Source organism: Homo sapiens, chromosome 18 (assembly GCF_000001405.40).
Source record: "Homo sapiens chromosome 18, GRCh38.p14 Primary Assembly".
NCBI classification, from domain to species: domain Eukaryota; kingdom Metazoa; phylum Chordata; class Mammalia; order Primates; family Hominidae; genus Homo; species Homo sapiens.
Window position 1 is genome coordinate 5,142,629 of NC_000018.10, and position 13,015 is coordinate 5,155,643.

At 41.0% G+C, this 13,015-nt stretch overlaps 1 protein-coding gene across 2 annotated transcripts in view; it reads right to left on the reverse strand.

Annotated features, from left to right (window-relative positions):
* Nucleotides 1-282: 282 nt before the first annotated feature.
* The window catches only part of AKAIN1 (A-kinase anchor inhibitor 1), a 54,781-nt gene continuing 42,048 nt past the window's right edge, over nucleotides 283-13,015 (reverse strand). For both annotated transcript variants that reach the window (NM_001330553.2, NM_001145194.2), the window contains exon 2: nucleotides 283-3,127. In NM_001330553.2, coding sequence (NP_001317482.1) covers nucleotides 2,934-3,127 — 194 coding nt within the window. In that variant the 3' untranslated portion in view covers nucleotides 283-2,933. The remainder of the gene's footprint in view (nucleotides 3,128-13,015) is intronic.

The window sequence follows — 13,015 nt, forward strand, 5'->3', positions numbered from 1 at the left end:
TTTCAGATTTTTCATAGATTTTATTATTTTACTGTATTTTACTAGACTAAGCTATTACAGTGGATAAATTAAAGATCCCTCTCTTTTGTATTGTTTTATCATAGAAACCTTAAAACAGCCTGGAAGATGGCCAGTTACTCATCTTTGAATGGCATAAATTCAATGATTATTTTTAAATGATAGATTCATTTCTTTGTAACCTGAAATTCCACCATAAAGGAAACCTAAACGGCTAAAAAATAAATAAGAAAAGAAATGAAGGGAACGAGTTAGTCATTTTGCATCAATTTACAATACTGTTTGCACTGAACAGATGATTACAGCAGAGAAAAGTAACATGAAAGGATTTCTTTCTTTAGATCCACCCTAGGGGCAGGCAACAGAGAAGACGAACAGCTGAACACACAGAGATGGGAAGCCTGTGTATGCAGTAAATCAGAAAGATAAAGGACACTAAGTAAATGTTCCCACTCATTTCTGAAACTAAAAGCTGTGATCTGGTTTATGATGATAATCAAGTGGAAATCCACCTTAATCCTATGTCAAATGAAGTTCTGTAGGCCCCTTGTAAAATCTAGTAACTTTTTCTTCATACTGAAAGATCTGTAAAAGTTTATAGGTCTTTAACTCGTTTGTTTTTATGACTGAGCTTTCTTAGAATTTTGCCAATATGGCACCTACCTATTGAGGACAGGCATTGCTGAACCTCCTTTTGTCCTCCCAACAACTTAGTCATATCTCTGTTCCTTGCTGTCGATTTTCCATCTCAAAAATTATGGCAGACACTCTACCTTCCAGACCCACTTACCTTGAATTTTTTAGATCAAAAGACCACTTCTTAGCATACATCCTTTTCTCTTCAAGCCTCAGGACCCACCATCCCATGGCTGTCCTCACACAGTCACAGTGAAGGGCCCATTAAGGAAGCACTTCCCCTGGTCATGATATCTAGGGGTTTGAAAATAGCCTTGGAAGTCTCATGGTTCCAAATAATGGTAAGATCCACGTACAAAATGAGCCAAACGGCAGAGTCTAGAAAACTTTGCTTAAGATATTTCAAAGCTGTATGTGTTTTATTTATAAATAACATTTAGACACAGAGGTCAATAAGATGTTCCAAAAATTCCCAATTTTTTAGTACAGACACATCAGAGAGGAAAAATAGTATGTTTATATGTTTCTGTCACTTGACAGCAAAAACAAAGGCTGGTCATATCCAGATATCTGAGTAGACATAGTACCAGATCACTTACAAACTACAAGCATTAGATTTATTTATTTATTTTATTTGTGGCACTCCTGAATAATTTCCCTGAATACCTTCATTCTCACTATGTATGCTATGCAATTATATCACATCAGTTATATGACTTTTGGTCGACTTAAACTCACTCTTCACTTGGCATGAATTCTGCTAAAAGAAATACTTGTGAGTAAACAATCTTTAAATTTTAAGCCCTTCTGCTTCCTTCTCCTTCCATGTTTCCTGTGAATTTATTCCACCTGTGCACTGTGGGAGATAGCATAACAAAGCTGGTAAGATATTTTTCATTCATTATCTATTATCCAACTATTTATTCTAGAAACTGTAGCATATTGGAATTTTAGAAGTATATCTTAATATCAGTCACAATTTATACCCGAATACTTTGCTTTAAAAAAAAATCAAATGTAGATATTGATACTCTGAAACTAGAAGGTTTTTAACCAAGGTCAAATTCTTCCTCTGTCCCCAATAGCACCAATTCAATAACTTTTGTGAAGCCCAGGAAATGGGACTGTAGATACTCCAGAAATATGTGCATTATCCTCACAGAAGTGGAGCAGGGATTGATCCTGTTGCTGCACAGATAACTTTATTACACGTGTACACACACATATCTCTGTCACTGCATTCAAAACACTGTCACTTTACTGTCCCCATTGTGTTCTCATGTATTCCTGACCTGTATGATTTTCATAATCTCAAAAAAAAAATTTAATGTGTGAATGGGAAAAGTTAGTAAGGTCCTAATGCAAATGCATAGCCTAGTGGCAAAACAGCATTCGTTAAGGACCCCAGAATCCCTTCCAAGGATGTTGCACCCCATAATCAGCCCCAAGTGTAAGTCTCTTAATGATAGGCAGCTGTTGAAGAAATCTACACTTCTAGCCATTCTCCATGAGGCTGCTAAGGAAATGAGTCATTGGCAACTCACATGTGTAGACTCACTTGTCTTATTTTATTTAATCTTGAGAAAAGAAATCCATAATATTCCCAAAAGATTTCTACACAGAGCATAAACACCAATTATGAAATCATTCAGAGAATTGAGACTAAAAGACTGAGTTCTTGAGAAACTTAAACTCCTCCCTTTCTTAAAATAACATAAATATTAGTAAATGCCTTGGTATGGTCCCGAGGGACTCAGCCTTAGAATTTCCCTTTTCTTAATTTGATCTTAGACCTGAACCCACTTAAAGCCTTCAATTTCACATTTGAAGGTAACTAAAACTGCATTCCCTCACCTTTCTAGCATGTCTTTTTAATATACCATAAAGAACTCAGTACTGTATTCAGTATTTCAGCAAAAAGGCTGCTTGTTAAATTCACAGAAGGAACGCATAAAAGGCAGAAGTAAATAAACGAGACATAGAATTCTTTTTTTCAAATAAAAGAACTTTAAAAATAAATTGGCCTGCAAAACTACTTTTGCAATTACAGTGTCATATTTGGCCCCACTATGTCTCAGAGGCACTGCATAAATATGAACAGAATCGTCTAATGCACTTTTTCAAAACAGTGCTTCTCAGCCAGGGGCTAGTGTGAATTCATTCTACAGCTAGGTGCCGGTGACACTTCGGTTTGCTTTACTGGCAACATTTTGGAGATGCGTCCTATACTAAGAGGAAGGCTAGAAACCAAGCACATGTCAAGAGCCAAATCCACCATGTTACTTCTTTTCGTGCTTCTTGGTTAACTCCCCAACGCCCAGTTGGATGTGGTCCCGGTTGTCACTGATTCTCTCTTCTCTGCGCTGACTCTCCTGGGAGACTTGCTGCACAGCTTGCAGGATTGCATTCTGCACAATCTGTTTGCTGGCATTCTGCAGCTTCACCTCTTCAGGCTCATTTCCAGGTTTCTCACCTAGCCAAAAACATGAAAAGGAGGGGAAAAGGAGAGAAATTAATTTCAGGAATGTGAGAGGGAAAGGTAGAGGAGAAAGATGGGAGGGAAGAGTGAGACTGTAAGAACACACTGGAGTGGACCAGTTAACTATGAGAAGCCCACTAGAGCACATACAATTGGGGGATTGGTCTCAGGACATGCTGTGGATACCAAAGTCCTTGATAGAAAATGACCTAGTGTTTGCATATAATCTACACACATCCTCCCAAACACTTAAAGTCATCTGCAGTTACTTATAATACCTAATATAATATAAATGTAATGTAAATAGTTGTTATACTATATTTTAAAAATTGTATTATTTTCACTGCTGTACTGTTATTACTTTTATTGGGTTTTTTCCAATATTTTTCTTCCATGGTTGTTTGAATCCTAGGATCCTCAGCTGCTAGAGAGACAGTTTCTAGAAAAGAACAGACCGTTGCCCTTTCGCACCTTCCCCACTTCCTTCAGGAAATGCAGACATTAAACGCCTTCAGGTGTTGCATTCATCTTCCAGTAAGCATGAAGATGAAAGCCAACATTCTGGGCATGGCTGGGCAGAAAGAAGCAGACTAATTTTGAAGGCAACACTGAACATCTGTACCAGCCCTGGGCCACGTACTTCTGGGCATTCATGTATGTGATGAAAATATTTCCTTTCTGTTTAATCCAACATTATTCAGGTTTTATGTTACTTGCAGCCAAATACATGCCTAGTGTATATAACCTCGCTGGGGCTGGAGAACAAATGATGACTGAATCCATATCAAGGTCAACTTTGCTCCTATAATAGGATCACAACCAGTGAAACTATCCGAAGCTGCCCACTGTGATCTAAAGCAGGCACTGGCAAACTTTTTCATCAGAACCTGCCCCCCTCCCCGCCTGGTGATCTAGAGCAGGGATTGGCAAACTTTTCTTTAAAGAACCAGATAGGAGACAGTCTAAGTTCATGGGTCGTACAACTTCTGGAACAACTACTCAACTCTGCTGTTGTAGCATGAAATCAGCTATGGATGAGTGCATATGGCTTTCATTCAATAAAACTTTATTTACAAAAAAACAGACCACAGGCCAGATTTGGCCCATGGGCCAGTTTGTCAACCCCCAATCTGGAATGGTGGGAACTTTCTAATTAGAAGGCAAGGCAGTCTACCCAGCACTGATTCTCTGCTTTCTTTCTTAGTTAAAAACAAAATCTTAATTTTATTTGAGTAGTTATGTAACTAGGCATAGCTAAGTTCTGTGGTAGAAGTGGAAGTTCATTTAGTAAAAATTCTGGAAAAGGGATGTAGAAGGGTAAAGTCAGATAAAGGCCTTTTGTCCTCTCCCCATCCTATTGCCTGCAACTCTGGCCTGATAGTTATTACAAGGACCAGAGCCATTAGAACCATTAAAATACAAACTGTTTTCAGGGATTTCAGAAGGAAAAGAAGGAGCTTGGTATCCAATGACCAAGAAGCCACCATATCAGTTCTCAGATGCCCACCTCCAGGCCTCTTTTTATGTTAGAAAAAAGTAATATACCTTGTTTAAGGCAACTGCTCTTTTGTATTTTTTTAATTGTGCAGTAGATGTAATACGAACTCATGCATGGTAGACTGATCATGAATCTACCATTTGGTTGAAGGGCAATCTGGAAAACCCTAAATCCCACCTATTTATATTTATAGTGGTAAACAGAATGGACATCATTTCTTATTTAAAATAATCTTTTTGGATATTTCCTCTACACGAATATGCTCACTACCATGAAGATGTATTTAAGATTGGAGGGATGACGTTCACTGGGGTTGATTAATTAACAACAGAATTTATACACCTAAGAGGAAACATCACAAAAGATAATACTGAGTAATTCTAGAAGATCAGACAGTTCTTATCCATTAAGACTTATGATCTTCATTTATTGAGCATTTTTATCCATCCATTGAGGGATTTGCAATCTAGTGAACAAAGCAAGATAAACCTATTGAGAGCGAAGAACAATATTTTAAAAAACAGGATAAAATGATCAATCTACACCAAACTGAGCAGAGGAGTCTGGAGGCATGAATTGCAATAGACTGAAGCTGTGAAGTGACCAAGAAGAATAGAAATTTTTCTATATGAAGAGTCACGAAGGCATAGCTATCAAGAATATGTGTTTTGAATCACTTCAGAGATTTCAAGTCCTTTGTGCCACTTGCATTCATGCAATCTTGGGTAAGGTACTTCACCTCAGTAAGCCTCTTTGCATATCTGTAAAATGGGCAAGTATCATTAATTTAGGTTGGTTGTTGGAGAATTAACCGACATAAAGAATATTCAGCAGTCAGTGTGGTCCCTAACACATAGTAAGCATTTGTAAGTGTCCACCATTGTGTGTTAGGGAATAGACTAAGCTGTTGTAACTGAGAAACTCAAAAATAGGACAGCTCACACAAGAGAAATTCATTGCTCTCTCGTGTAACAGTTCAGAGGTACTCCAGTGTGTAAGTAGCTCTGCTGCATGGGTTATCTAAGGACTCTAACTTCCTTACATCTTACTGCTCTGACCTTTATTATAATATTGCCCTCATTTACCTGAGTGAAGCTGGTTAACCAATATCCCATGTGGGACCAAAAGAGAGCAAAAGAGAAAATGGAGGGCAAGCAATTTCTTTTTAAAGAGTTGTCATAAAGGTTGCAAACATCACTCTTCTGACATTCTATTGAGGGAAACTTAATTACATGGCCACGCTTAGCTATGTGGGAGGCTATGAAATACATTCACAGGCTGGGCAGCCATATGTCTTTCTGAAATTCAAGGAGGGGCCAGGTGCAGTGACTCACAGCTGTAATCCCAGCACTCTGGGAGGCCGACATGGGCGAATCATTTGAGCTCAGGAGTTTGAGACCAGCCTGGCCAACATGGCGAAACCCCATCTCTACTAAAACACAAAAAGATTAGTCTGGCGTGGTGGCGAGCACCTGTAGTCCCAGCTGCTTGGGAGGTTGAGGTGCAAGAATCGCTTGAACCTGGGAGGCAGAGGTTGCAGTAAGCTGAGATCATGCCACTGCATTCCAGCCTGGTTGACAGAGTGAGACTCTGTCACAAAAAAAAGAAAAAAAGTAAAATAAATAAAAATAAAACTCAATAAGGTTCTAATGCTAAAACAAATAAGCCATTAAGAAGTTCAAAAAATTACTTCCAAGCAAAGCCAAGGCTACATTGAAAAGGTAGAATACAGTATATACTTGCAGCAGGACAAATGCGAAACCCAGGTTGCTCTGTCTACCACTGTACAGTGTATAAGTGTAAGGACAAACAACAACAATTTCAAAAGGTTTAGGCTTGCTCCTAGAAAAAGTATCTTAGCCAAACTAGATGCGTGTTAACTCTCACTGCCCTCATTACCACTTCGTTTTGGATCACACATACCTGCAGGGGAGGTTGTGGGACAAAGAGAGCAGCGAAGCCTGGAGCAGAGAAAGAGAGGGATTAAGGTTGGGAGAAAAGCCACCCAGAGCACTTAACAGATAATACATGCCAAATAAAAAGCTGCACAAAGCACACATACTACTTGTGTGTTAGGCTCTTGGGTATGAGAGGAATAATATTCTCTTCCGTTACCTTAAGCTATGGCAGAGGGGAGGGGACCATGAAAATAGAGATACAAATGTCGTAGCCAAGTGTCCAGGAACCGTTCAGCTGAGCTTCATATTACAACTCAGATATTGGAAAAATCCAGTATACTCCAGTTATTGTACCACCTAGGTTATCCTCTGCCATGAGCGAGCCTCGTCTCTCCATCTGCTGCTACCAACCAAGCACCTCTCCGCTTCTTCTAGAGTCTCTCTGACTTTATGCATTCACTCATTCTTATTTCTGCATATTCACGACGTGCATTGCTTCATGACTGTACATATCTCCTTCCCTCTGAGGTCATTCCAGCTAAGTTCCTGGCCAATGTTCTTGCAACTGACTGACCTTTGCCATATCTTCAGTTGAAATTCCTGAAAGAGAGAGCCTAATAGACTCACCATATATCACCATTATCCTTATAAAGCAGCACTTTTATACCAGGCAGTGTTTTATTTTTGTTTTTGTTTTTGTTTTTTTCTGATGGGGTCTCACTATGTTGACCAGCTTGGTCTCAAACTCCTGGGCTCAAGCAATCCTCCAGCCTCAGACTCCCAAGTACCTGGGACTACAGGCACACTCCACCACACTAGCCTCCAGGCCACTTCTTAAGCCAGCAATAGGTTGAATAACAAGGTTTATTCTGGCCCAATTTGCTGTGGCCAAAAAGTTCGGATCAAGAGGTGGGAACACAGCTACTTAGGAGGAAGGAACCACTTAGCTCCATTGCCTTGGCAAAGCATCCTGGAGAGCAGGTGTTCACAGGTTAGTCTCTGTGCGGCATCACACTCATACTTCCTGGCGTTCCTATGGCATTCACTTGTAAGGACAAGATATTTGAGAAACTCCTGATGGAGTCTCTTATAATAATACAAGTACCATGTGAGGAAGTACACTACAACCAACAGAAGGCAGGGCCAGCCACCCAAATCCTCAAAGACTCACCATTGATTTCTATGCACTGAATTCACTTCAATGTAATGAATCACTTAGTGTCATAGGCAGACTGTTGCCTAGCTTTAAATGATGCAAACATCCTCTAGCCTAATTAGCATTTACAACATCATTTTCATGTTTCACAAAAAAATGAGGAATTGATTTAATTGGCTATAAACTCTTAAATGCCCAATATAAATAAACCAAAATCGAGAACGTGGTGTAACTGAATTTGTCTTCAGTGTCTTTCCACCTCGGATTTTTACTTGCCTCTCCTCATCCCCAGGCATCCACATGGTCCTGCTTCTCTATGATCACCCAGTGCTCCCCCATGGGGATCCGGCCTTCCACAGACCACTGTGAGCTCTGCAGCTCCCCACCACGCCCCTCAGAACTTTCTGCCCCATATCCCATTCATGCCTCTCCAGTGGAAGGTGTCTAAGGAACTCAATTGCAATATGGTTAATAATTGGTCTAATTTCTTATGTATAAGTATTAAAATTGTGCTTCTAATGACCATTGGATGACCATCCTGATAAAAACTTACATCAATTTTCCCCCCAGAACCTAAGTGTCATTTACTTCTTTTACATTAGCCCTGTTATATTCCAGTGAGGCGGGTTTTGGAAAAGGTCAGTGTTCCATTTTGAGACAGACTCTGGCTAGTGATTTTTTTCTAGATTGCACAGATAGGGCACCAGAGGTTGTATCACAAATGGCATCTCTATCTCTCATCTCTCCCCACTGACTCACTAAGTATGCAAATTACAGAAGTCCCTCCCAGGGCAAGACAGGACTCCAGCACCACTCCCTGCACACACACTGTAATACACAGGGCTGCTGCTGGTAAACAGGGAGGAATTATTTTATCTCCCCTTCTGATGGCTTGAGACTGCAAAGATAGTATGATCATTTATCAATGATGAGCACATGGAACACAGAGAACAAGAACTAATTCTGGGCCCTTTAATAATAGAATGATAGTTTTGTTCTTTCAGCTCTGGAACTACAGGAATTTTCCCTGAAGGACCAGATGTTAAATCTCACTCATCTACACCAACTGCAAATAAAGCAAACCCAGGAGCCCTGCTTTGCTACCAAGCAAGCTAAAGTTACATGAGTTCCCAGCAATGAAAAGCCACAGCCCCTGAGCTTCCAGCTTGCTGCTAGCCCAACTGAGCATGCTATTCCCCTGTGCACCATTACCAAATCAGAAGCATTTTAGGTAGATTTGAGATGCAGAAAGCAAGACAGCTATCAGCAGGCATAGGACATTTCTAAGTCATATTTGAGTGATACTGTCTATTACCACCGCCACCCTTATCAAATCAGATACAGGGAATTAAGAGTCACCCCTGACTCTACCTACAATGGCCAGTCACATTATGTCATAATGTAGCCAGCTACTCTTATAAATTATATGGAGTTCTTTATTAAAACATCCTAGACAACAAGATGACATGAATCAGAAAGATATTTATGGAGGACCTACATGTATGGTACTATGGAGAATAACATAAGCCACTAGGCCAAAATGTTTCACTCATACATATATTCATTCATAAAAGAATTACAAAGCACTTACTACATGACAAACACTAGGCTAGGTATTGTAGACTAAAATGTTGAGCAGAACAGTCATAGTCCCTACCCTATGTGAGCTTACAATCTAGAAGAGTCAGATGTTAACCAGCTAATCAGCTGGGTTTATAATTGGGAGCTATGTCATGTGCTATGAAGGGAGCATGGGGAGCATACTGAAACCATCCCCACAAGGTTGACAGGAATTGAATGCCAGGCTCTGGACAGAAATATAGTTAATTAAGCATCAGTCAGGCTGCGCTCTGGCCCGCTTACTTGATGCTGAAAGTCACTCAACACTAGATACTGCCAGTGCATCCTGTTGTTCCTACAGACAGGATAGCTGACATTACAATAATGAGGTTTTTGTTTAAGGATCACTTAACAGGTTTTTCAGAACCCAAATTCTAGCAAAATAGTGGATGCCAACCCACACAGAGGAACAGGATCGGTATGAGAATGCAACATCTTCATCCTCCTGTCCCATGACTTCACCCTGCACTCTTTGACCAATCAACTATCTCCAAACACTTCAGCCCACTCCACACCCTTAAAATCCATAGCCCTAATCTCCTTGGGTAGACAGATTTGAGGTTTCCTCCTATCTCCTCATCAGCAGCTCTACCATTAAACCTGTTTTCCTCTGTTGCAACCCAGTGTCTCCACGTATTGACTTGCCATTGCATCAGACAATGAACCTGTTATGATTACAATACCACAAAGGGAACTCATCTAATTTAGGTGTCAGGGAAAGATGTCCAGAGAGGGGACTTAAGGATTAATGAACATTAACTGATAAAAGGAAGGTGCTGGGAGCAGGAAGGCAAGAACATTACAAGCAAAAAGATCCACCCCTGAGTGGCAAGTCCCTGATCTGCGTAACAAAAGCAGGGCCAGAGAGGAACTCAAGGCAGCCTGAGTGGCTAGTGCCCACCAGGGAGGGAGACGGGCGATGGCGCTGAAGAAAGGAGGCCAGCCTGGGCCTGGGGTCCTGGGGAGGTATCAGAGCCTTTTTCTGATAGTAAAGCAGCCATGTTTCCTCATATCTGTGCCACCCAGCATAGCTTCAGTAGTCTGAGGAGAGTTACATAATTAAGGCAAGAATATGCAAGATTTGGAGAAGGCCTTGAAACACAGATGGACTTTGGAAAGGCCAAGGGGAAAAGGAAGTGAATTCTTGCCCTGGCCTTGAAGGGCAGGGCAGACAAGCGGCTGGTTGACTAACAGGGTCATGGAAAGCTTTTATGTGCAGAGCTGCTGAATTATTTTAGAACATAATTTAAATGATACAATATTACTGGATTGTAATTCCTTAAGGAAGCCATAAAAATGGTGCCAATAAAACTTGCAAAGGAAAAGACAATTTTACTCTAGGAATCAAGATGCTTATTGAGTTATTTTGGCCAAGAAAAAGCAAAGTTAATTTTGAAGGAAAGAAAAATAACAAAACAAGCAATAAGATGGATCTAATTTACCAGCTATGAATACCAGTTACAAAGCTATGTCAATTAAGAAAGTGTGATAATAATACAGGGATACAAAAATTGACAAGTACATTAAAGAGTCCAGAAACAACCACACAGATATATGGAACACCTGATTTATGGAAAACATGACACTGTTGTATAGTAGGGAAAGGACAGTATTTTCAGTCTTTAGGGCTTGGCCAAGTAGTTATTCATACAGAAAAATAATGAAAGTGACTACTTCATACTGCACACAAAAAATTTCCAAATGGATTTCATATCTAGATCTGAAAAGTAAAATAATTTGGAGCACAGAGGATTTTCAAGACAGTGAAACAACTCTGTATGATAGATACTATAATGATGGACACGTCATTGCATATTTGTCTAAACCCATAGAATGTACAACACCAAGAGTAAACCCTATTATGAACTGTGGAGTTTGGGTAATTATGATGTGTCAGTGTAGGTTTAACTGTAACAAATGAACCACTCTGTGGGGGATGTAGAAAGGGGGAGGCTGTGAATGTGTGGGGGAAGGGGGCATATAAGAAATCTCTGTACCTTCTGCTTAGTTTTGCTATGAACTTAAAACTGCTTCACACCTGGAAGCCTAGCACTTTGGGAGGCTGGGGCGGGAGGATCACTTGTGTCTGGGAGATCGAGACCAGCCTAAGTAACATTGTGAGACCCTCATCTCTATGAAAAATTAAAAAATAAATTTATAAAAAGTAAAGCAATCAAGCTTTTAGAAGAATGTCTTTGTGACCTGGGAGTGGACAAAGATTTCTTAAACGGGACACAAAAAGCAACAACCATGAAGAAAAAATTGGACAAATTGGGCTACATTAAAATAATTGGTTTTCACCAGGGAAACACACACTTGGAAAAAGACTTTTCACTGGAGGTAGAGGCACAGAGAATGCTTATGAAAATACTGTCTTGGAAATCCTTTAAATATTTCCTTTTTCTGAGCACGTAGATAACAACCAAGACTGTGTTATGAGTTCAGAGAGACTTAAAAGGCTGTTCTGACCACCACATACATTTCTGCAAAATTCAGCAGAAATGTAGGTTTTCCTCCTTTTACCCCCAAGAGACTCAGAAATCAAACTCCTCCCAAGAGTTTCTTTTTTCTTGCAGTCAGTAGGAACTCTAGAAAATCTATGAAATGAGAAATAAGAATGAAATCCTAAGCCTCCCCCAACCAACTGACCAGACCCCTTCTTGGCCAAGGGGACCCCAGAGTAACCTGGGAAACTGAGTTCTGGACCCTGATGGGATGGGAGGTGGGACACGCCTTGTTCTATCTCCTCCCTCGCCAACCCCTTTAGGCTTTCTTCCCTAACGATTAAACAGAAACTAGCCCTCTCAAGAGACTCCACCTGATGTCAGTCAATCAACTGATGCTGCCCCTCCCTTTTACGTTCCAACAAAACAACCAACTAGCATTCCTCCTGTCATCTAGGCTGGAGTTCAGCGGCGCTAGCCTGGCTCACTGCAGCCTCAAACTCCTGGAAGCGATTCTCCCGCCTCAGCCTCCCAACTAGCTGGGACTACAGGCGCCCGCCACCACGCCCAGCTAATTTTTTGTATTTTTTGTAGAGATAGTGTCTTGCCACACCACAGGGCTGGTTTCTGTTTAACCCTTAGGGAAGAAAGCCTAACGGGGTTGGCGAAGGAGGAGGTATAACAAGACCTGTCCCACTTCCCATCCCATCATTGCCCAGGCTAGTCTCGAACTCCTGGGCTCAAGTAATCTGCCCACCTCAGCCTCCCAAAGTATTGAGATGACAGGCGCGAGCCACTGCACGGGCCAGCCTTCCTTTGGGATAAGAGACCATCGACCATGGAGTGGCTCCCGTGAGTCTATGCAGGCTGTGCAGTGAGGGTTTTGCATCCTGTGCTTCATCTTTTGATGTCAGGGGGCTGAAAACTCCACTCTGGGCTCATGCTAACTCGGTTGTATTTTGAAATCGGGACCCGGGAGAGGTATGAATCTCAATTGCGCATGCGTAGGTTTCTCTTTTCGTAAATATTCATGACTCCTCCTGTAGCTTATTGAATATGTATATCTGGCCTGCTCAGCCAGAATTCCTGTTCCCTGTGCCCCTCCCCGAAAGTGTCCGTTTCTGGCCTCTCATCCGCGGCTGCACTGCCCAGACGGTCAGAATGGCTGCCCTGCAGGCTGTAGCCCTCTATGAGAAACAAGCTCTCCTTTCCAAATGTATGAACCGCGTCATTCTTCAGCTGACAAACAGAAAGTTCAGGAAAAGC